Genomic DNA, 26,090 nt, shown 5'->3' with positions numbered 1-26,090 from the left:
AATGATATTGTGCTCTAAGACCTCATCGTTTTTCATTTTTATTCAACACTGCTTCTGAAATCTAACCATGTTACTATGTGTACATCTAGCTCAAGGTTCTATTTGATGCCTAGCATTCCATCACATTTTACTTACCTACTACCCTAGTCAAATACATGTGGGTTGCCTCATATAAATAACTGGGAAGAATTTATCTGCTTTAGACCAAAGATGGAGCTTCCTGGATCATAGAGCAGGTGAGGGCCTCCTTTCACTCCATGTTGCCAGATTGTAGCCCAGATGGGGAAACCATTGTCTACTCTCTGCAGAGTGCATGGCATTATCCAGATTTCTAATTTTGGCCAATCTGATGGATGTAAAGTTGTATCTGACTGTTTTAATGTGCATTTTCTGATAATCAGGGACTTTGAGCATAGTTTCATACTCCTTAGCCAGTTACATTTCTCATTTTGAGAGAAACCTGTTTAAATCCTTAGATTTGGAGGCAGGAGTGGGGATGTGGCAGGGGCAGGGAAGGTGGTCATGCCTTTTTTTTCTGTTTATAGCAGTCCTCACTTGTCTGTGGGAGATATGTTCCAAGACCCCCCAGTGGAGGCCTGAAACCACAGAGAATATCAAACCCTATGTTTGTTCCTCAGAATACCTACCTATAATAAAGTTAATTTATAAGTTTAGCATAGTAAAAGATTAACAACAACTAATATAATAGGACAATTATAGCAATATACTATAATAAAAGTAATGTGAATCTCTCTCTCTCTCTGAAAATATCTTATTTTACTGTACCTACTGTACCAAGGATAACTGCAACCATGGAAAACAAGGCCTCAGATAATGGGAGACTAACTACTGGTATTTGTCTGATTTTCTTGTGATTCAAGATACCTACTTTAAGGTTTTCTGGCCTATATTTTGACAATCTGTCATCTTTGTGTTAACTTTCTTTCTTCAGTTCCTTTGCCAAATGTAAATTCTTAATTTCTCTTTTATCCATACAGTTTTATTATTTACACTTATGGGGCCAAGCCTGTAATTCCAGAACTTTGGGAGGCCAAGGAGGGTGGATCACTTGAGCATAGGAGTTTGAGACTAGCCTGAACAACATGACGAAACACTGTCTCTACAAAAAAATACAGAAGTTAGCCATGGTTTGGTGGCATGTGCCTGGGGTCCCAGCTTCTAGGGAGGCTGAGGTGGGAGGATAACCTGAGCCCAGGGAGGTCAAGGCTTCGGTGAGGCATGATTGTGCCACTGTACTCCAGCTTAGGCAACAGAGTGAGACCCAGTCTCCAAATAAATAAATACACATATTGCATATATCACTCAAATATCATTGTTTTGTTTTGTGTGTTGGAGGAATATTAGTAAAACCTGGTTTATTTATTGCGGAATTTCTTATAACTGGAATGTTTATATACATTGAAGCTATTTAAATTATTTTTAGAGTACTTTGTTGATACCATACCATTTGATTTTTATGAAAACTTTGAAGAGTAGGTGAGCAGGTATCCCCATTTCATGGATGAGGAAACTGATTTGACTTAGATGTCGTGACCTGCCCAGATTCACAGAGCTCATCCGTTGCCACGCCACAACAAACAGGCAAATCCCTTGTCCCCTAGGCCAGCAGTATGCTTATCAAGAGTTGGGATTATTTCCAAAAAGGTATAATCATCTTAAACTTCTCCATGAAAAAGTCACTTACCACTTAAGAAGATAGTCACATCAAAATGTTTGTTTTGATAAGTATGGATTGACTTACTACATTGGTCTAAGAAGTAAGCTCAATGGTCTTAAAAGAGGCAGAGGTGTTAGTGTGCTAAAAGGCAACTCATCTCTCTGAACACTGTTGTGGGAAATAAGTTTTTTTAATGAGTCCTGTTCTGAAAGTGATGAGTACAGATAATTTATGGTTTTCAAGGTAAGCCATTTTCTACACCTGCCCTCAGATTACACAGATAGAATGAACCATTGGGCCAAGAAGAACAGAAACTTGAGTATGAAGAATGGGAAGTAAGAAGAAGTTTCTAATCACTCTCGCATCAGGAAATGTCCTCCCGGAAAATGAGTATGTAGTTAACTTTGACCTCGGTGCAGACCATAAAGACAGATGGGAGAGAAATATTGGACTCTGGTCCCTAAAATCAATGAATACTATCCCAGGGATGGCACTAATGAGCTGGGGGTCAGGTGGTTGTTTGTAGGGGAAGGTAAAGCCGAGCTCTTGGCTCCTGCTGGTAAAGGAAAAGGTGATTGAATGATGGGGTGATAGAGGGCTCATTCTTCAGTGTAATCTTAATTACATTACAAAATGCTGTTCATCAGCATTTTGTGGACAAGGAGAAAAAAGCTCAGTCAACTGCTGGTTGACTCTTTAATCTTGGCTTGTCCTTCAGCACCACGGGCAATCTCAAGCAAGACCTGTGTTCTCTGACTGAGCATGCCTCCCTCGTAAAAAAATTCCTTTTGCATAATCCAATTGAGCAACGCTTGTAGTCGGCACTTTAAGAAGAATCAGTATTTTAAATATTTGCCAAATGAGCTCAAAAGATTATAATAACAATAATTATAGCTTCCATTTACTGACTACGTACTAGGTGCCAAGCATTGTGTTTAACAAGCACCATTTCAATTACTCAGGGGGAAAAACCCTAGGGTACAAATACCATTATTACCTCCATTTTGCAGATGAGGAAATTGAGGCTTAGAGATGTGGAATGAGTTGCCCGAGGTTACAAAGCTCATAACTGGCAAAACCAGAATGCAAATCCAGAACTGTCTGACTCCAAAAATGAATTTCTGTATTCTTAAATTTCGTATGAGTTATCCACTGCTGCTTAACAAAGTATTCAAAAATTTAGCCACTTAAAACAACAAACGTTATTATATCTCATGGTTTCTGAGAGTCACAAATCTAGGAGTGGCTTAACTGGGTGTTTCTGATGCAGTCTTTCTTGACGTTGCAGTCAATGTGTCAATCAGGGCTGCAGTCATCTGAAGACTCCACCAGAGCTAGAATATTTGCTTCCAACATCACTCACGTGGCTGTTGGCAAGAAGCGTTAGCTCCTCATCATGTGGGCTTCTCTACAGGGCTGCTGAGTTTCATCTATAAATAAAGATACCCTACAGGGATTTTAATGAGGATCACCTGAGATAACCTATGAGCTAGTGAGAGGTAAGCTGAAGCAGGCTGCACAAATTTTGGATAATATTATTAATGAATTTATTGCCATCTTGCCTAGGATATTCAGGAATATGGAGATATCCCTGACTCTTCCAAAAGAATGACCAAGATCATGCCTAATTACCTCCATGTCCTGGGAAAGCCCCGCTGTAATGGAGATGGCATCTTCTCCAGGGCTCTATAGGGTGGAGAAGATGAAGAAACCTGCACACAGCCCCCATGAAGATTCCAGTGTTGTGGCTGGGAATCTCTGTCTCCCTTTATGTTGGCTACATGAAAAAAGAGTGTTTGCTTACAGAGACCTGGTGGCCATTAGAAGGTGAGCACCCAAACCCTTTGGTATCCTAGCCCACATATCGAGATCCCAACCCTGGATGGGAAGAACAAATGGCCTGGGTAGAAAATAAATCCAAGGCTAGCCTAAGAGCAGAGTATGATGGAAAGTCTTTGGTGTAAGAAAAACCCATCTGTGCTCATATTTGCTGGGAGGAAACTGGTGCCCATTAAGGTTGTGTAACCTGTAGAACAAAATATTTTGTATGTAAAGCAGCTAGAAGAGTGTCTGGCACATAATAGGTACTCAGTAATAGAAGAGTCTTGGTAGTTTTGTTATTATTGTCATCATTCCAACTTCATATGGCTGTTTGAGGATTACTATATGCAATTATTTGTTTAAAATCTTATCGTTCATTAGATTGTAAATTCCATGAGAACAGGAACCTTGTATAGCTGTCCTATTTACTACTATATTCCTAGTGCCTAACAAAGAGAAGATACTCAGCAAATATTACATGTATGAATATATCTAAATGTAGAGCTTTGTATGTACTAGGTGATCCATGGTTGATAATTATCAGCATTATAATCATCACCATACCATTCCCATTACCATTATCATCATCATCATCACCACTACCATCATCCCCATCCTCATGGCATAAGAATACCCTGGTGTGATAATTCAACAGTGTTCTCAGTGTATGACAATGAGACTTAATTTCTTTTCCACTTCAGGTACTTCTGGTTCACAGAAGAATCTGGGTGTTTTCTTTTTTTCCATGGTAAAAAAAGACCTGCTCCACCATATTGGTATAATGTTGTTATGGCTTGAGGAAAAAAACTGTATTCCTAAAAAATCTTAACAAGCCCTGTAATCAGATTCAACGCAAATCTCTTGGAGTGATAGTCCACTGGTGTTGAATCCCATCTTCACTATTTTCTTTGTGGCCTTGGAAGAGTTACCAAACCTGTCTGGATCTTCATGGCCTCATTTCTAAAAGGACAAAAGTAAAAACTAACCAAAATACTGATAAGGCTATTGTAAAGAAATAACAGATGCTTTTTGTCTAATCTCTTGCATGTGTCCTTTCCATGGTAGATGTTCAAAAATATTTATAGAATGAATGTGTTGACTAGATGAATGATATAATTTATGTCTATAGCTTCACTACTCATTCCAACAGCTGAGTCAGCACAAGGAGATAGCCTTTGAAATTCTAGGGAACTCTGAAGGGTTGGAAGATGTAAGTTCCAGGACTCGCTGTGACTTTGGGCAAGTCCTGAGATATGATTCAGGGTCTCAAGGGTCTTATCCACATAATAGGAGGAAATTCCGTTTGCACAACAATGAGAATGCACTTACTGCCACTAAACTGTATGCTTAAAAATGATTACAATGATAAATTTTAATTGATTTTATCACAAAGGAAAATTCTGGCTACTAGAGTACTAGCTTTCTGGATACTAAGACTTGAGACCAAAAATATTGGCTAGCATGTATAATCCCTTACTTATGCCAAACACTGGTAAAATGTCAGATGCATGATCTCACGTAACCCTCTCAGTGGTCCTGTGAGTGAGATATTATTACTACCCCCATTTTATAGATGAGGAAACAGAAGCTTAATGAAGTATTTCTAGAGCTGGAGTTTAAAGCCATGTGTGTCTCTTTAGAGAGCTCTTGTGCTTTCCTACTTAATATTCTGAAGTTCTTTTTGTTTGTTTGTTTGTTTTGTTTTGTTTTTGACAAATAACCAAATCACAAATGTAGGCAGCTCAAATCTTGGTCACATGAGCTTTGATAGAGAAGGTGGTATGGAGACCTGATACAGTTTGAGAAAGGCCTTGTTTGCTTCCATTCTTTGAAGCTCGCAGTGCATTGGAACAGAGGGAGAAAAGGAAGGAGGAGATGGAAGAGAGGCAACAGCAGAAAACAGTGCCAAGATGCAGTTACCAATATATTTCTGAATTTTTTTAATGTTTACATTTGATTCTTATATTTGCATGATTTTAATGACAAAAAATACTTTATTGGGCAAAGACATCTGAAGTCCCAATCAAGGTCCTACAAGATTAGAAAGCCTGAGCTAATGGCTTTCCAGCCTTCTGCCTCCAGCTTCCCACCTTCCAATTCCTCTCATAGTAAGAGGCCCTGGGTGGCATTGTGATATAACCTCAGCTGGCTCTTGGCATTCCCATAGACAGGGCTTCCAGGCTTCTCTTCTTACAGCTGGGGAAAGGAACAGCAAATCCAAGACTCTCATCATATTATTGGTTTGACAACACATAGCTATTAGGACCACAACCCAGGAAGGGTTGCTCCTTCGAATCTCCTCCCATGGACTTGACTGATTCTTAAAATAGTTGCAGTAGTCATAGTTATAACAATAACAGCAGCTGATACATAGAGGGCTGATAAATATGCTCTACGTAACTCATTAGTGTATCCCAACAATTTGGTAAGGTAGGTACGATCATTAGTCATTTTTTTCCATCTTTTTTCTCTAAGAGACAGGGACACCTAGAGTAATTTATCCAAGGTTACAAAATTTTTAAGACATGGAGGTGGAATGTAATCATGGACAATGTCAACCATTTATGGAGCATTTACAGTGAGATTGTTGCAAGGATTGAATGGAATAATTAACCATCTAACCCAGACCCTCACACCAATCCTGTGGACATGGTATCATAACCACCATCCTCAACTTACAGATGGGAAAGGCAAGACTTAAGGAAGTCAAAGAACTGGCTGCTATTACACAGTTCAGAGGTGGCAGAGCCATGGGGTCAGTCTTGTGCCAAAGCACAAACTATGTCCCTTCTGCCCTTTGGTCTTCTCAGGGCTGATTAGAAAACGAGAAGGTAGATTTCCAACTTTTTGCAGCATGACTTTACCTGGTCTCCTTAATAGTGCCGTGCTGCGAGTTTCTGTTGTTTCTGTTTTCATCCAAATAAAGCATAAGAGAAGTTCCAGCCTCCTAAAGCATAACATCACATCTTAAGGGCCAAATTTGATAGTAAAATATATTGTTCTATTCAGTCTCCATATCAAATTTCTTACAGAAGATGGATGTCATTTGTGCTGCCTTTTGTAGGCACAAGTTGCAACTGCTTTTCAGCAATCATTTCTTATAACAGTGCAGAACAATTCCAGCCAGCCCAGGCGAGGTTTTTTTCCTAATTCTGTAATAATCCATTATTTTATATTTATTCCATCAGTTTCAACAGTTCACAAGAACATCTATAATCTTAGATCCAGTAATCAACTGTTCCTGAATTGCCCCGTCCTAAATTTAGGCCTCACACTTGGTAATTTAGCTAGAGAGTTTCATTGGTGAGTGCCACTCTTTCACGGTTGAGGCAAAGTGCTACTATTTGGGCTGTATTTAATTCTTATTATTTAGCAAGTTGAACTGTATACCACGGAGTTTAATAATGCAGGGTGTAATTGCTCTAATGCTATGAAGGCACATGGCTGCTGACTTCCTCAGTCTTCACTAGGTCTCGCTGGCAAATGAGATGTTGCTGCTCAGTGAGGCTTCTCTGCTTCAATATTTTAAGAAAACAAATATCGTTGCAGTGTGGCATTTGTAGAAGAATCTGTTAAAGGGCTGAAGTAGTCACAAGCCAGAGCTACTCATAACTGCGAATATTCATTAATTGAGGAATTCCTGAGTGCTTGACAATGTATGTCAGCTTATTTAATCTCACAACAACCATAGAAGGTGGGTCCTATTACTACCTCATTTAAGAGGCTTAAAGAGATTAGTTTATAGCATATCACATAGTCCGTGGCAGAGAATCCCTGCTCCAGGATCAAACGTTTGCAAATACTATTGCGTTGTTTTCCCAGGACTGCTTTCAGTTCTTTTTGCAGAGCATTAAGGAAAGAATGAGAGAGACAGAAAGCTCCACACATTCTTATGAAGAATAAAGAAAGTCCCAAGTGAGCTGTGAATACTGGATGTTTATTTGCCTGTTTCCCAGGTGGACTGTCATGACACTAATCACCAGTCATGGTGGTCCTTGTTTCTTTTGCCCCTTCCACTCTTCAAATATGATCTCAACAACTGAGAACAAAATGAATTTCACTCTGAAGTATAAAGTATCTTATTGAAGCTTTATCTATTCCCACTGCTAAGATCTCTTTCACTTTGTAGTAAGATTGACATTTGATTGCATGATGAAAACGACTCCTCCTTTATCAAAATGTTTAAGCTTTGAGGGCACCAGTATACATGTTTTTAAAAATAGACTTCTCATGCTTGTAATCCCAGCACTTTGGGAGGCCAAGGTGGGCGGATCACAAGGTCAAGAGATCGAGACCATCCTGGTCAACATGGTGAAACCCCATCTCTACTAAAAATACAAAAATTAGCTGGGCATAGTGGCACATGCCTGTAGTCCCAGTTACTTCAGAGGCTGAGGCAGGAGAATCACTTGAACCCGTGAGGCAGAAGTTGCAGTGAGCTGAGATCACGCCACTGCACTCCAGCCTGGCGACAGAGCAAGACTCCGTCTAAAAAAAAAAAAAGACTTATAATAATCATATGTATTTAAAGACCATATAAATGTATGTTATTTGTTAATGGACTGAGAATGGCATCTTACCCTAAATTTGAGGTTTGAGGTTTACACATCTGAAACAACAGAGCAGATTTCAAGAAAAATGACAATAGAATTGACAGTTTATTTGGATTATACCTTCTGATTACCAAGAAGTGGATAAAAATTCTAAAATGTAACATACTTACCTAAACATAACTTGGAATGCATCAGCCAAACAATGAACATTTTGAGAGTATTTATGTAAGAAAAAGTGGATAAAAATCAATTCTGCTTCTAAAAATATTTAGAAATCCAAAAAACTTGGCCATAGCTGCTAAGAAATTATTCATTTTTAATGTTTCATTTTATAGAAATAATTAAATTTTATTATGACTTACTTATCTCTAAAAAACAACAAAAAATAATGACTATATATAATTTGTATTATTTATTGCTTCCTTCAATAAGTATTTCTTTTTTTTTTTTTTTTTTTGAGATGGAGTCTTACTCTGTCACCTAGGTGGGAGTACAGTGGCATGATCTTGTCTCACGGCAACCTCTGTCTCCTGGGTTCAAGTGATTCTCCTACCTCAGCCTCCCAAGTAGCTGGGACTATAGCCACCTGCCACCATGCCTGGCTAATTTTTGTATTGTTCAGTAGAGACGGGGTTTCACCATGTTGGCCAGGCAAGTCTTGAACTCCTGACCTCAAGTGATCCATCCACCTTAGCCTCCCAAAGTGAATAAATATTACTTAAATGCCACATCAGGAAGACAGCAGCAAGTGAGATGCAGTAGCTGAGTACATTCCACTGGGGAAGACAAGTTCTAAATGCAAAACCAAATCAGTATGTGTAATTTCAGATGATGATAAATATTATGACAAACATAAAGCAAAGTTAGGAAATAGACAATGCCTTCTTCAAGGAGAAAAGTAGTCAAGGAAGGCCTTTTAGGGAGGTAGAATCCAAGCAGAGACTGACAAATGAGAAAGAGTGTTTTAATCTTTTTCATGTAGTCTTCACCAAAAAACATCGAGAAACCACCAGTCTTATCTAAAGGAAAATAATTCTCCCCTAATTTCTGCCTTGCCATAGTTTTTCTAGTTTGTCTTTCTTTGGAAAACAATTCTCTAAGATAAAAAGATCTCAGTTCATCTTTCCTTTAACATTACTCCCAAAGTGAGGCCAAACCACTTCATTTGTCCCAAAGGTGAGCCAAACTTGAGCAGCTCTACTGTGGGAACCAGTTCTACTCACAACTAGCTGGCAACCTCTGTTTTTGAAGGCTGCCATTTGAGTGGAGCTACCCCATCCTTTGGACTCGTCAGAGACCCCTGTTCTCATGGGAAACAACTTACCATTTCAAAAATCTACATGATTCCCTAACCCAGCTGTTTTACCAGAATGATAAAAGTGCTATGTGGGCCTTTCCTGTTCTCCAGACTGGGAGTGAGGAGTTCATATGCTAACCTAGAAATAATACCTTGTGCTGCCATCTGGGGCTTCACAACCTCTTTTCCCAGCCTTTAGGGAAAGGAAGAGAAGGCAAGGAGATGCCATTGGATGGGATTCTCCTAAAAGCCAGACACTATCCCAAGCACTTGATACCCTTTATTTTATATAATCTACCTGGGAGCTCAGGAATGTCCTCATTTTACAGGTGAGAGAAAACTGAGGCCCATAGTGCTTAAACCACTTCTTTTAAGTTACCCAGTTCATAAGAGGTAGACCTGAGATTTTATCCCATTTCAGGTTCCAAAACTATCTTCTTTCTACTACAGAGGTCCGGGAAGATGTCAATTACTCTTGAATTCCAAATAATATATGGAACTCTCCACTGCTCAGCATATCCAAAAACCTACCTAATTGTCATGGTCAGTGCCTTGCATGTGGGACATCAAAGCCACAAATTAAAGTCTCAGCCAAAGAAAGTTACAGTTTCTAGAAATATAATTTCCAATAGGAGAAGATATTTCAGGCAGTAAACTGACTGCCTTAACTGTGGGTGCCAAAACCCTTTGGGGGATTTATCGAGAAGTTGAAATAAGAAACAAGACAAATACATTGAGACTTCACTGAATTCCTCACAGTTTGGGAGGAAGAAAAATATTATTCTCTGGAAATGGAAAAAAAATAGATTCATTCCTCTCTGCTATTACATGGGTCCAGCTGAGCAATAACGCACTGTGAAGCCAAATGCTCTGATCGGTTTCTCTGAGCTGTTATTAAAGTTTGCAAAATATTGCTCAGATTCTTTCTGGCAGAGTTTCAATATTGTCTATTTAAGCTGGAATTGGGCTGGTACCGTTCATTTCTGTTAAACCTGCCAAAGCTGGTGGTCCCACTGCACAAATCTCCCGGCGCCACAGCCTTCATCCTGCAAGGCTGGCAACACCCTGAGAGCCTACACCCTCTGTTGGCTTTCTGATGTGACTCAGGTCAAGAATAACTGAATCAACCTTCCTCCCCTTTCTCTTTGCCTCCCTTTCTCACCCTCAGCACACCACACACATACACACACACACGTGCACATGCACACGCTGGCCCTTCACTTGCAGGAGGAAAGAAAGGAGCTATGCAGAACAGTGCATCTGTCTGGGAAGGTGTTAACTCTGCTAAAGCTGGAGACTCTCAGCCTGGTGTTCTAATAAGGACATGAGAACTCTTTTCCTCTGCTGATATAGCAGATGCTATTACCCTCCAACAATCTCCCTTACCATTCCCCAACTTTGCCCTCTACCCTCACTTCAGCCCAGCTGAACCTGTTCCATGTCCTCAAATACCCCATGTTCTTTCTTGCCCTGGGCTTTACTTCTGCTGATCCTCTAATGGGAATACATTTCCTCTCTCCCCTTCTGGTAAACTCCAGTTTACCCTCTAGGTTGCAACTTGGGCAACATCCCTCTGATCCCCCAGGATGATTTAGATGCCCCTGTTATGTGTTTCTATGGGGAGCTTAAGCTTATCTCATCTAATCACAACCTTGATTTTAAGTAAATGGTCTCCTGAACACAACTACCAGCTCTGAGACTCAGGAGGAGGCCTGTCTTATCCTCCTCATGTAGAACAGTGGGGTAAATGCTATAACAGAGGGACCAAAAAGATATATGAAAGCTCCAATACACTATACTTTTATTTCTTGCACAGATAACATTACGAGGCAAGTGAACAGATAGGCAGGATGGTCTGAACTTCTGCCATCATCAATAAGTGGCTTTCAAAGTCTTCCTAAAGACTTCTCCATTCAATCCAGCTGGAAAGTAAAAGAGTATGAAGGAGTGCCTTGCAGAAGGCTTTTTTTTTTTTAGACCAGTACTAGAAGTGTGTACATCACTGTTGTTCACACCACGTTCTCATGGCAAGAACTCAATCACATGGCCATACCAAATTGCAAGCGATGCTGGGGCATGTAGCATCTGGCAACTACTCCTAGTAACAGGTATGCAGAAGGAGGATCATAAATTTTGGTGGACAGGTAGCCTCTTTCCTACATCCTTCTATCCTCAGTGCCTAACACACAATAGCCAAATAATAAATAGTTGCTAAATAAATCAATAAAGAGTTTTAAAAAACTTAGGGCATAAAACATCACCTTAATATACTCCAAGCTGTGATATAGGACTGTATTCTCACAACTGCTTTGAATAAAGAACTGCAAACTACCAAAGGTCAGACAGGCAGTAAAAATCTCAATTTCCTTAGCCACTTTTATTGTTCACTAGTTGAATGACAGTGCCTGGCACAATACCCAGGATATAGGTTCTGTTCAATGAATATGGGTCGAATGAATGAATTATTGGAAATCATAGGTTATTGAGATTAGAAGTGACCTGAACATAACCATGGTTTTATTATGCTTGCCAAGTGATCTGTCAGTTCCCCCTTCCTAGGAAGTGCATCACTCCCAGAGTTAGCACCTGCCATCTTAGGTCAGCCCTGACTCTAGGAAACTCCTTTCTTCCTTTGATCTAAAGCCTGGCTCCCTGCTGTAGCACAGAGTTGAAAGAAAGAAATTCAAATATTTTATCATCTACTCTGTGCCAGGCATTGTCCTGGGTGCATTTATGTTATTTCACTTATTCCCCATAACAACTCAGAGAAGGAAATTACTGCTGTGGCTCAGTCCACCCTCTTCCCTGCCTGGATTGCTGCCTTATTATTAATAACCTTCTAATTGTGCTCCTTGCTTTCACTGTTGCCCTCTTATAATAAGTCTGAACCTAAGATTATCTTTTTAAATTGTGAATCAAAAGTCATCACTTCTCTGCTTAAAACCCCACACTGGCTTTCCATTGCACTTGGAATAAAATCCAAATTTTTTGTCGTCACCCACAAGCCCACTCGATTGGGTTCCTTCCTGCCCCTCTGATTTGGTCTCAGCCACTCTCCCGCTCGCTCACTGTGCTGCAGGCACACCAGCCTTCTTTCCTTTCTTGAATACCTCAAGTTTATTTGCACTCCAGGGCCTTTCCACTTGCTATTTTCTCTGCCTGGAGCCCTCTGCCCCCAATTCTTTCTTGGGCTGATTCCTTGTTGCCATTCAGTTTTCAGTATAAATGCATTTTTCTCGGTGAAACCTCTGATTGTAGAATGTAGAGTAGTTCTCCAGTCTCAACTTGTCCTTCTGTCCCTATAGGTCACACAAATTGTGTGTTCTCCAAAGGAGCTCAAACCTGACTGCATACATCAGACCCACCAGGGAAGCTTCCAAGAAACGTCATTATCCAGGAAGCTTCTCTAGCAATTCTGATTTCATATGTCCTCTGGATTGTTTAGGAATCAGTAGTTGGAATAGCTCTCCTAAATGATCCTGATGTGTAGCCAGTCTAGAAAACCATGAGTCCAATATTTCTGTCTGGTTCTGTCTGGGATAGAATCCCGCTTCAATATCTGATTAGCTCTACACCTTGGGCAAGCCATTTAGCCTGTTTAATCCTCATATCTAAAATTGTGACAAGAATAGTATCTATGTCACAGGTTTATTGTGAGCACTGGAGGAGAATTTCAAGTGAAACGCTTAGCATGGTGCCTGGCCCACAGCAAGCCCTCATTAAACGTTGGCTCCTATTATCATTGTTACCCTCCTACTCCTTTTACTCCCTCTCCTCCTTCTCCTTGGCAGCTTTTCAGGGATGTCAAGGCAACCATCACAAAATACCTCTCTTCCAGGCCAGTAACCCTCAGTTTTCTTTTTTTTAATCCTTTTCCACATGGCAGATTCATATTTCTTCTCTCATAGACAGATCACATCCCAGGAGGAGGTGTTGTATTTCTGCACCCCAGAACTCATAAGGGTTGAAGCCTCTGATGCAATAAATGTAGATAATTGGGCTCCAGCTCTGAACTTCGGATGGCACTCATTACTGGCCCTGGTAGGGCAGCCGTGTGTGGCCTCTCATTCCGGGGAAGTCTTCTTATAGGGGAATTCTATGTGACAGTGTCTGTAATGAAGGGGGAGACTGGAGAGAGAGTATGGGAGTTTGTTTCCTGAATGCTTTTCATCCTGACATGCTTAGTTGAGAGTCAGAGCCCAGCCCACATTAACTCATTGAGTTCCTGGAGTTTGTTGTAGATTTTCAGCCTTTTTCATTATAGTCAACACCATAGGAGCCAAAATAATGAAAATAGTGTTTGATGAAGTGGGAAAAGCAGGTCTCAATGTCCATAGTGAAGTTAGAAAGGAGAAGGAGAGAAGGCTAAACGTAAAACAAAGTGCGCATTAGTTAGTAATAAGGTATACTGTGGACTTGGGGGAGCATGTAAATAAGTCAGGGAGAAAGAATTCTAGACATTGTACAGGAGATACAATTTTCCTAAGTCTTCTTTCTTTTTTTATTGCTGTTTATCTTGCAAGGGCAAGATAAATAAGTTTGATATTTTTATTTATTTATATATTTTTAAATTTTTATTATTTTATTTTTACATAAGTTATTTGGGTACAGGTGGTATTTGGTTACATGAGTAAGTTATTTGGTGGTGATTTGTGATTTTGGCGCACCCATCACCCAAGCAGTATACACTGCACCATATTTGTAGTCTTTTATCCCTCGCCCCCCTCCCACTCTTCCCTTCAAGTCCCTAAAGTCCATTGCATCATTCTTATGCCTTTGCGTTCTCATAGCTTAGCTCCCACATATCAGTGAGAATATACGATGTTTGGTTTTCCATTTCCATACTTCACTTAGAATAATAGTCTCCAGTCTCATTCAGGTCACCGCAAATGCTGTTAATTAATTCCTTTTTATGGCAGAGTAGTATTCCACCGTACATATGTACCACAGTTTCCTTATCCACTCATTGACTGATGGGCATTTGTATTTGTTCCGCGATTTAGCAATTGTGAATTGTGCTGCTATAAACATGCATATGCAAGTATCTTTTTCGAATAATGACTTTTTTTCCTCTGGGTAGATACCCAGTAGTGGGATTGCTGGATCAAATAGTAGTTCTATTTTTAGTTCTTTAAGGAAGCTCCACACTGTTTTCCAGAATGGCTGTACTAGTTTACATTCCCACCAGCAGTGTAGAAGTGTTCCCTGATCACTGCATCCAAGCCAACATCTACTGTTTTTTGATTTTTTGATTATGGCCATTCTTGCAAGAGTAAGGTGGTATTGCATTGTGGTTTTGATTTGCATTTCCCTGATCATGAGTAATGTTGAGCATTTTTTCATATGTTTATTGGCCATTTGTGTATCTTCTTTTGAGAATTGTCTATTCATGTCCTTAGCCCACTTTTTGATGGAATTGTTTGTTTTTCTTTTTCTTACTGACTTGTTTGAGTTTGTTGTAAATCCTGGATATTAGTCCTTTGTCAGATGTATAGATTGTGAAGATCTTCTCCTACTCTGTGGGTTTTCTGTTGACTCTGCCGACTGTTCCTTTTGCCATGGAAAAGCTCTTTAGTTTAACTAGGTCCCAGCTATTTATCTTTGTTTTCATTGCATTTGCTTTTGGGTTCTTGGTCATGAAATCCTTGCCCAAGCCAATATCCACAAGGGTTTTTCCATGTTATTTTCTAGAATTTTTAGCTTCAGGTCTTAGGTTTAAGTCTTTAATCCATCTTGAGTTGATTTTTATATAAGGTGAGAGATGAGGATCCAGTTTCATTCTCCTACATGTGGCTAACCACTTATCTGAGTACCATTTGTTGAAAAGGGTGTCCTTTCCTCACTTTACATTTTTGTTTGCTTTGTCAAAGATCAGTTGCCTATAAGCATTTGGGTTTATTTCTGAGTTCTCTATTCTGTACCATTGGTCTATGTGCCTATTTTTATACCAGTAACATAATGTTTTGGTGACAATGGCCTTGTAGTATAGTTTGAAATCAGGTAGTGTGATGTCTCCAGATTTGTTATTTTTGCTTAGTCTTGCTTTGGCTATGTCTAAGTCTTATTCTTAGTCATGGGTCACTTCGCTTTCTCTTAAGGTTGAGATCTGCTTTTGTGTGGTGAGGTACATTTGGGGAATGGGGAAGATAGGATCACAGGTAATCATAACATTTTGTATTAGTTAAATATTCTTCAAGCTCTATAACATGTTCAATCACATCCCTATGAGTAAGAAGTAAACCACATAACAATATTCTTGTCTAAGCAATGAGGAAAGTGACTTACCCAGTATCATATTCCATGTTATACCAGGCCAAGTAAGAAAACCCATGTCATCTTTTTTTTTAACTCTCATTTTAGGCTTCTGGGTACATGTGCAGGTTTGTTACATAGGTACACTCGGTCATGAGGGTTTGTTATGTAGATTATTTCATCATCTAGGTACTAAGCCTAGTACTCAATAGTTATTTTTTCTGCTCCTTTCCCTCCTTCCACCCTCCACCCTCAAGTAAGCCCCAATGTCTGTTGTTCCCTTCTTTATGTCCACGAGTTCTCATCATTTGGCTCACACTTATAAGTGAGAAGATGTGATATTTGTTTTTCTGTTCCTGCGTCAGTTTGCTAAGGATAATGGCCTCCAGCTCCATCTATGTTCTCACAAAAGACATGATCTCATTCTGTTTTATGGCAGCACAGTATTTCATGGTGTGTATGTACCACATTTTCTTTATCCAGCCTACCATTGATGGGCATTTAGGTTGATTCCATGTCTTGCTATTGTGAATTGTGCTGCAGTGAACATTCACATACATGTGTCTTTATGGCAGAATTATTTATACTCTTCTAGGTATATACCCAGTAATTGGACTGCTAGGTTGAATAGTAGCCCTGAAAGCCTATGTCCTCTAATTCCTGGTTCAGTGTCCACCCCATCTGATGCTATCAAAGGTTTATGGAATGTTCTACTTATACACCCTCTCACTGTTCCTCAGTTTTCTACACACACACATCCAAAGCTACCATGTTCTTCCAAGCAGCTCTCATCCTAGCCAGATGGCCCCTCTGGAAGTTCTTGACTCCCCCAAGCTGCCTTAGTACCTTCTCTGTGCACCCATGGAACTTTGCTCCTATCTCAGTTACTACACAGAGTTTACTGGATTCTAATTATTTTTCTTTACAATACTACCTCCTCATTATTACTTTCTCCAGGGCAGGGCTATGTATGTACTTATCTTTGTATTACCAGCTTCTTACAAAGTGCACAGCATATAGGGAATCCTCCATAAATGTTTGCTGAATAGTTGGATAAATTGATGGATGGATGGATGGGTGGTCAGATAGTCAGATGGACAGAAGTTCTTTCAGGGTGAGTGTTAAAGAAATATACGAGAAGCCAGCTTGCTATCAAAGGAGGATTTTCTTGACTTTCTGATAAAGATAGGATCCATCTGATGCTTTTGGTTTAGAACTAACACCATAATTACTTATCCATGTTCTGCTAGAAATTTCATTGCTGAAATCTGGGTTCGGTATGAGGCTTCAGTACGCCACAGAAAGAAGTATCTTGTCCCAGGCAATAGTGTAATATGAGTAGCATAGTCTCCAGATGGTGAGAATTTTAATCCTGAGTTATTGAGTGTATGATTTCTTGCTAGCAACTTAGCTTCCTCATTCCTCAGTGTCCTCATGTGTTAAATGGGGACAACATTGGTACCTCGTGTACAAATGGTTTGTGAGGATTAAATGATATAATAAATATAAAACACTTAGTATGCACCAGCACTTCGGACAGTGCCTGACACAGAGTAAGCGCTCAATGTGCCTGAGTCCTTTTGTCTTCCTACTGTGTACATATGCATCTCTGTGACCCAGAAAGTCTAGCTGAGTCAGCTCTGTATCTTGAGACTCAGTTCCTGCAGAGCCTGAGGAGGTGATCGAAGCTGCTCTGGAGACTGAACCAGGTGTAATTCACTGCATCCTTAGCCAAGTTACTTCCCATCTCTGAGCCTCAATCTCATTATCTGTCCTTGGAGAGCTGCTTTGATGATTTTGTAAGTTCAAGGTCATATGCTGAGTATCCTCGCTGCGCTTGGCCTGTCCCTGCATATGAATTGAACTGTAAGCTCTTTGAAAAGGGGGACTGTTTTATCCTCACCTTTTCACATCTGATCCCAACTTGCTCTTTAGAAGGCCCTTGATAAAGTTTTGCTGAGTTTGAATCAACTTCCCTAAATCGCTTAACATGCTCTTTTGGAGACTTAGTTGAACTCCTGAACGCTAAGCTCCAGAAAGGTTCTGGCCCATTAACCCTATTCCCCTGCAAACAGTTAGGTACTTAATGATCCTGCTGCCCCCAGCATGGTACAGAGCTCACCCCTTGCAGATCACTCCCAGATCCTTTCTAGGAGCCAGCCTCCAAAAACCCTGGCAGCACAACTTTGCTGGCAGCATTTGGGAAGTGAGGCCACGTCCTCTGCAAACTTAATGGAGTGGCCTTTTTTTAGTTTCCAGACAACAGCATTGTATTCAGAGGCAGAAGGCTCTCGTTGGGTTTGTAAGCTTTTTTACACCTGTGCCTACATAGCACAGATGTATAACACATTCATCATAAGGGGAATAAATGAATGAATGAATGGGGCATAGTTTTTTGGTAGTACCAACCTCAAGATGTGTAGCATTTAATACAGGAAGAAGTCTAGGGAGAACTACTTTTACTATTTTCTAATAAAAAATGTCTTATCCCCTGAGTGATTTTATGACCTCTATAAGCATAGGGCAGGAGAGGATGCAACAAAAGCTTTTGGTCATTTCAATAAACACTCTCTCCAACTCTCTGCCCTTTTCATGAATTCCCAGTTGAGAAATATCTGTAATAGGTGAGCAATGATAATGTCATTGAATAAAGATTGATGGAAACAGATATAAACCCAAAACGTTTTTAGTGCCAGAAATACTGTTTGCTCAACAATAAGTTACATCAAAGGACTTAAACATTTCCCACAGAGGTCAGCAATTCTGCCAGTGATGTACTGAAATTCACACCTCTGCCAGAAGCGCTCTGTTCCTGGCATGAAACAGAAAAAGTCACATCTGTTAACATCAATATCCCAAGGAGGCAATTTTGCCTTTTCTGATTATTGTTCAGGTGCTTTATTCTCCAAAAGCCAGCCTCTGGAAGCTTCTTGGAACATATAAAATTTAAAGCTTTGTTTTAAAATTTATAAATCCCTTTTATTTGTTTTATTTTCTTTTTTTCATTTTTGTAAATCCTTGAACTAAAAATAGAGCCTGTGGCTGTCTGTCCTATGGGAATCTTAGAGGTACTCCTGCTTCAGCAAATATCACCCTTATTCACGTAATTGGCCCCATCCTTAAACAAACCATGTGACCAAAACTACATCTTTGGTTTTCTTTGTGATATTAAAATAATATTGTCCTTTGTCATTCCAGTATTTGTTATTTGAGATTCATGATTTTGGAGTCAAGATATTTGGAATTAGAAAATAAGGATAATAATAGTAACATTTGCATGCCAAGTGGTTTTTCTTTCCTTACTTCATTGAACTCCTACAATTCCTGTGTGACCTGAGGGTACTATTATTTTGTTGTAATGAGGGAAAGGAGTTACTAGTCAAGGTTAGAACCCAGACCTTTCCAAAGCCTGCAACCAGTGCAGTCCTCAGCCACTCTCATGATCCAAATCCACCTTACCCGTTCAGTGTGTTTTAACAGCACCTATCAACTTCCAACATACAATTTCCTTATTTATTGTGTGTTTTGTTTATTGTCTCTTCCCTCACTAGAATCTGAGTTCTATGAACACAAGAATTACTTTTTTCTGTTCTATTCATGGATCTATCCCAAGATCGAGAATAGAGCCTGGCATGTTAATTGCACATATATTGCAATTGTTACCCTTACTTGTTTATTGATGGTCCAATGCCACTCTGTGTTTCACTGGTGGAAAAACTGAGGCCAGGAGCCACCTGGTGATTCACTAAAGATGACACCATGAGCAACCTTGCAAGAAAAACAAGATCTCCTAACTGCCAGCCCAATTCTTTGCCTAAATCTCAACTCTATCTTGCCCTACTTTTATTATGCTATAAAATGAATAACTGTTTATGAGTTCATTCTCAGGCACATTATTGCTTTTATATTACATCAAAGAACTTGAGATGGGCAAAAGATATAGCCCTATTGATTGTTCTCAGAAACTCAACTTTTCCATCCCGCAAGGAATCCTTGCTTAAGGCTCATTTTGAAGACAGGAGCCAGTCTCTAACAGAAGACTGTCTCCAACAAGTCTACCTCCCCATCAGGGCAGGGTCACTGTGATTATTGGTTTTAGAAATCTTGAAATCAATCAACTGAATTGTTCTGTTTCTATCCACCATACTCCTACAGAACATTAGAACTGACCAGAAGTCGAAATGCTAAGATGTTTTTGGCTCATGGTTGCTCAGTGAGTCAGTGTCTTCTAGGGAAAACCCAGATGCTACAGGAGATAGCATGGGAGTGACTTAGTGTGACTTTGAATGAGGCATTGAATCCGTGGGCCTAATGTATAGGAGAGAAGTCTTGGATGAAAGCTGAAAAAGAAAGTGACAACTCTAGAAGTAAGAGTGTATTAAGATAAAAGGGTTTGTGTTTGGCTTTCAGAAAAGAAGAAAGACTCCAGAGGCTGTCAAGAGAAGATATTTATTTGAGCATAAGTTGTTTTTACATCATCAGCAACAGAGCACACCTCCTAACCCTCATATTAATATCTCTCATTCTGCTTAAGCTGGAATATGTAACTCTTAGTAGAAGACTTAGAGACATTTTTCTATTTCTGATGATAAGTCTAGTCTACTCTACTGTCATACCCATTCTCGAGGCTGCTGGCCCAAAGTGGAGACTTACCTGTAGTTTTGACAAGTCAGATGGCCCCTGTGCATTAAACCTGTGATCTGGATTTGACCTGTCCCATGCTCTGCTGAGGGATGCATCACATTCAGTGCAGTGATTATGATCATAACTGGGAGTCCACCAAGAGCTCTGTGCACTTTAAAATGCACTTCCTCGGCCGGGTGCCGTGGCTCACACTTGTAATCCCAGCGCTTTGGGAGGCTGAGGTGGGTGGATCACTTGAGGTCAGGAGTTTGAAACCAGCCTGTCCAACATGGTGAAACCCCGTCTCTATTAAAAATACAAAATTAGCCTGGCATGATGGCACACACCTGTAATCCCAGCTACTCGGGAGACTGAGGCAGCAGAATCGCTTGAACCCCAGAGGTGGAGGTTACAGTGAGCTGAGATTGAGGCATTGCACTCCACCCTGGGCAACAGGAGCAAAACTCCATCTCAAAAAGATAAAAATAAAAAGCACTTCCTCACACATTTTTAAATTTTAGATTATTATAAAATCATTCTGAGGTAATTATGGCAGAGATTCTTATCTCCACTTTCTAAATTAGAAATCTGACTTCACAGAGGTTCATGACACTCTAGGTCACATAGCTGGTAAATGACAAAGCCCAAATCCAAGGTCCTCTGCTGCTTTGTTCTTTCCACTATGACATTCTGCCTCCTGCCCACATGGATGTCCTGCAGGCATCTATAATACATATCCAACACCAAATTTTTATCTTCTGCTCTTGAAAAAAACCCAGTCCTCCTCCTCTTGCTTTCCCTGCTGATTTAATAACTGCCCTTCCCTTAATTACCCACCCTAGAAACTTGAGGTCCTCCTGTCTTTTCTCCTGCCACCTGTCTTAGAGCCAACCCAGGATTTTCTTTTTTAGATGTCAAACAAAAACGTCTTCCCTCTTAATTGCTGTCACTGGTACTGCCATGATTCGGGCCTTCATTACCACTTATGTGGCCCACATGAATATTCAGTAGTTTAACTCATTCACCAAATCATCACTGAAGTTCTTCTCTGTTCCAGGAACTGTGCTTGGTGCGAGGGAGACTGTTCTGAGCAAAAAGCGAAACATGGATCTTATTTTCATGGTGCTGTGGTCTCAATTAAGTATTAATCAAATAATCACCCCAACGAATGTAAAAACGGCAACTCTGACAATTGCCGCAAGGCAAGCCATATAATCCCCTACCTGCAGAACCAGTATGGAGCAAGATTTCTAAACCATAACTATGACCGTGGCACACCCTCTGCTATGAAACTTTCCTAAATGCCCACTGCCTGCATGATAAAATCCAAACCCATTAGCCTGGTATACCTGTCTCTTCATGATCTGGCTCCAAACACTAGATTAGGTTGCAAGCCACTACAACCCCATCTCTCTCCCACCCCTCACTCAATTAACTCATCCTATGACTAAGCCATAGCTGATCCTTTTATTTATTTATTTATTTTTTACTTCTTGCCATTCCAGAAACAGATCTGTTCTTTCATTCTTCCACATCTTGGCTTAAACAAAACTCACGTCCAGAAATGCAGTCCCTCTAGCAATACAAGGAAATAGCCTACTCACGCTTCAGGCTGAGCTGAAATGACCCCTCCCACTCACTCTCTGGATGTGATTAATTATTCCTCACGGTTTCCAACACGTTTTCCACACTACTAACGTAGCACTTCTCCCACTGTAATCTGATTACTTACTTTTTCCTTTCATCCCACCCCCATCCCTCAGATTTTGAACCACTTTTGGGGAGAGATCGTTTTAATTAATAGAGGTTTGAATTTCTATTTATTTTATTGCATAGAGCCAGACCGTAAATACTAATAGACGAGACAAAAATATTTTGATCCCTTATTTCTTTTCACTATGAATATCTAATTTCTCATAGGCACTCCTTTCATCCTAATTTAACTTCAAGAAGTTTTCCCCGTAGTTATTTTTTTTTTAGAAATCATACGCAAATAATTCCAGAGGCCTTCATATCTTCGTATTCCACCACACGTCTTCTCATCTCAATGGACAATATGTCCCCCACCCCTCCTGCCTTTTAGATCTCTCAGGCAGTTGGCACAAGGACAGGTTTTGCCTATTTGCATAATCACTGGTTCAATGATTACAAAGTGACCATATCAAAATATGGAAAATGTGTTCTTTGGGAAGGCCTTGATGTGTTTGTTTTTTATTTTTGTTTTTGTTTTTAATGTTTGTAAAGCATCAGGAATTAATGAAGAAACTGTCAAGTCTGTTTCCGTTGCTGTTCCAAGCTTGGCCAAGTCTAGATCTTGTTTCTCTGCTAAAGTGGCTTGAATCATGATTTTTAGCAACTGACTCCTAGGGTTTGTAACAAGAAATTGAGAAACACATGAGAATAATGAGAACAGCTTTTTGAGAAACTGATTTTATAACATGATAGGAATGATAGAAGAAAAATGTAGTGATTAACTAAATTCTTGGGAAGGAGGTAAGGTGTTACTTAAAATGTACGTTTCTTTAAAGGGCCTATAGATTCCTAGGATCTGGCAACTGAAATGATCATTTCTTAGAGACTGTCACATTTCCTATTCTAAAACCTAACAGTCACAGAAGTCATAAAATACAGAATCATGGCCAGATTATTTATGTCGATTTAAATAGTGGATAGATATATCTTTGTAAAGTGGAAAATAAAATTTAAAAAATAACCCAGCAGAATTGCTGTAGAGAACACTATTCACCACGTCCATTCCTGAATAGCACGACGATGGAACTGTACACACCAAAAGGTTCACTCACACTGTTGTGTGCCGAGAGATACTGATTCTCTCAGTCCTAGACACAGAACTCCCAGGTTGGTCCCACCATTCAAGAACAGCCTCAACCATTTATCCAGAACTCCAGGCAAGCATTACCATTTTCAGTGTAAGCCATAGCTTTAACAAGAGTAATACGTACTTGAATGTTCATAATAAGGATATCATTCAGGTAAACAGTGGAAACTCAGGGATAAATTCTGTTTCATCCATTACTGTGTAATGAACTACCTCAAAAACTTAGTGGCTTAACATAACAACTGTTTTATTATATCTCACAATGTTGAGAGTTGCACGTTGGGGCAGAGCTCAGCTGAGCAACTCTCCAGCTTCACATGGCATTGCCTGTGGCTCCTATGTGATATTAAGCTGGTGTCAGGACTGGTCCAAGACAACTTTACTCACCTTCCTGGTGCCTTGGCAGGGATGGCTGCAAGACCTGGCTCAGCTGGCCTCTCCCTATCTCCATATATTGTCAGGATGTCTCCATGTGGTCTCTCCAGAAGGGTAGTAGAGCTTCTCAACAGATCAAATGCAAGCTGACAATTCTCTGACAGGCCAGGCCCAGAACTGGCATAGCATCATTCCATCATTCTCCTGGTCAAAGCAGTCAGAGGCCAACCTCCACTCAAAGGGAGGGATAATAGACCCCCATCTCTCACTGGGAGGTGATATGAAAGAATTTGTAGCTACCTTTAATCCACCCAAGGGTGTTCGTAAAATTACCTCATATGTTCAATTTAGGATTTGTACTTTAGATTTATAACCTAGATGGAATAGGTCATTTGTTCATTCTGTTATTTAAAAGGTATTTATCAAGCATTTGATAATTGTTGATATAGCTCTGTGCTGTCTACTGAGATAAACCAGGAAAACACACAGGGCATAGTCTCTCTCCTCTAGGAATTTGCGTCTAGATGTGAACAGAAGGCAAACCACACAGCAAGCAATTCGAGTATATAATAAAATAGCTAAAATGGCAAAATGCACGTCATAGACGTGTATGGGCAACACAGATGCCTACAAGGTTCAGGCAAACGTAAAAAAAGAGTGAGGTGAGGTGAGCTGGCCTGTGAACAGTAGAAAGGATGTTGGGGGCAGCGGAGACCCAGACAGTTCATGCCACATCTAAAGGGGCAGCTTTGCTCAGCTCCAGCCTATTGTTGCTTTAGAGAGTGTGAGACAATGATGTTACAACTGCCAATTTTTCAGAGAACTATAAATCTCCCAATTATTAAATGTTGGTAATTATTCAAATTTGGCCTACTGACCACTAGTTTTCAGCCCCTAAAATAGACGGTAAGTGCTTTAGGATTCATGGAAAGAGGAGATGAAGGTCAACTAGATGAACACTATTCAAAGTGTGGGCTGACAAGATATGGAATCAAGCTAAGTGTCTACCAATGGAAAAATTGATTTTAAAAAAATGTGGTATATATACACAATGGGATACTATTGAGCCATAAAAAAGGAGACACTGTCATTTGCAATAACATAGATGAACCTGGAGTATGTTATGCTAAGTGAAATAAGCCCAGCATCGAAAGACAAATACCACACGTTCTTGCTTATAAGTGGAATCTAAAAATGTTGAACTCATAGCAGAGAGTAGAATGGTGGTTGCTAGGGGCTGGGGATGGCAGGGGTGGGGGTGGGGAGATGTTGGTCAAAGGATATAAAGTTAGGAGGAATAAGTTTTTGAAATCTGTTGCACAGCATGGTGATTATAGTTAATAATAGATGGTTGCATATCCAAAATGTATAAAAGAATAGATTTTAAATGTTCTCAGCACAAAAAGCAAATGTGTAAGGTGATGGATATGTTAATTAGCTTGATTTACTCATCTCACAATTATATATATATCAAAATATTACATTGCATTCCCATAAATATATACAATTATTTGTCAATTAAAAATAAAAATGGAAAATAATAGTAAAGTGTGATCTGAGTACCAGTACCATGCTGTGAATTGTTTATTACTGATCCACAACGGGATAGATAAATAACTTGATAATAAGAGTTTAAGCCCTCATAGCAATTTAATATCCAAGGCTGTAATCAGTATACTTGTCTTCTTGAGTACAGACCAACTTGGGTGTTGCAGAACTTGGGCTGTGAGCTATACTTGGTGTGAGCTGCATGCTAGTCAGGTGCAGTAGGACCACATGTGACCAAGCACTGGAATAGAGAGGCCCATGGTGAGGCACCATGGAGAATTTGGACCTCAAATAACAGGCAGGATTGGGATTAGCACAGAGGACAGAAAGCTTTTCTAAGTATTAGGAACAGCACATCCAGAAATCAGAGTCAATAAGGCACTAAGAAAAATCGGGAGAGCTGATTTGTGAAGGGCATTATGGAGGGTGCAGATGGTTGGATAAAGATTATGGAGAGCCTTGGACATAGCCTTGTACAATTGAATTTATCCTTTAAGAAATGTGGAGCCACAGGAGGTTTTTGAATACAGATGGGCATCACTAACTTTCTAAAATACCCTTTCTCCTTTTTTTCTCCTCTCTTTCAAGGCCTGATTCAAATTCCACCCTCTCCAGGACTAGTCCATGCAATAGCAATCACTCCCTTTATAAAATCTAGTTAACCTTTTTTCTTTTTCTGAATCAACAAATACCTTATACTGTTAATTATTTTTCTGTAAAGATATTGTCTTTTCTTCCAAATATTTCAAGCACTTTATGGACAAAAACTCCCTTACCCAGTTCTGAATCTTCCTCAGAATCTAGCACAATCCCTCACCCATACTGATATTCATTTGGTATGTGCTGATGAGCAAGACAGGTTTTGTAGGGATACTGATCTGGTAAAAGTGTTTTGAATAGATGGGAGCAGAAAGTAGAAAGTTAGAGACCAGGCCCGGGCGCAGTGGCTCACGCCTGTAATCCCAGCACTTTGGGAGGCCGAGGCGGGCAGATCACAAGGTCAAGAGATCAAGACCATCCTGGCCAACATAGTGAAACCCTGTCTCTACTAAAAATACAAAAATTAGCTGGGTGTGGTGGTGTGCATCTGTAGTCCCAGCTACT

The 26,090-nt window shown here is 40.0% G+C and overlaps 1 protein-coding gene across 7 annotated transcripts in view; it reads left to right on the top strand.

Moving 5' to 3' along the window:
* The window catches only part of SAMD12 (sterile alpha motif domain containing 12), a 490,139-nt gene that overhangs the window by 378,744 nt on the left and 85,305 nt on the right, over positions 1–26,090 (top strand). The window contains exons 5-6 of one of the 7 annotated variants that reach the window (XR_007060732.1): positions 1,950–2,068; positions 3,245–3,505. The exons of 4 other annotated variants lie outside the window; for them this stretch is intronic. Coding sequence is in view for 1 of the 3 variants with exons in the window: in XM_047421779.1 (XP_047277735.1) it covers positions 1,950–2,017 (68 nt within the window). In the remaining 2 variants the exon portion in view is untranslated. Of the gene's footprint in view, positions 1–1,949; positions 8,350–26,090 lie in introns of those variants that run through there. 2 more of the 7 variants (XR_007060733.1, XM_047421779.1) reach the window with 2 other exon arrangements.

The sequence above is a fragment of the Homo sapiens genome, chromosome 8, assembly GCF_000001405.40.
Source record: "Homo sapiens chromosome 8, GRCh38.p14 Primary Assembly".
Taxonomy (NCBI): Eukaryota; Metazoa; Chordata; class Mammalia; order Primates; family Hominidae; genus Homo; species Homo sapiens.
Note: the sequence above shows the minus strand (reverse complement) of the source record. Positions and strands in the feature narration are given on the sequence as shown.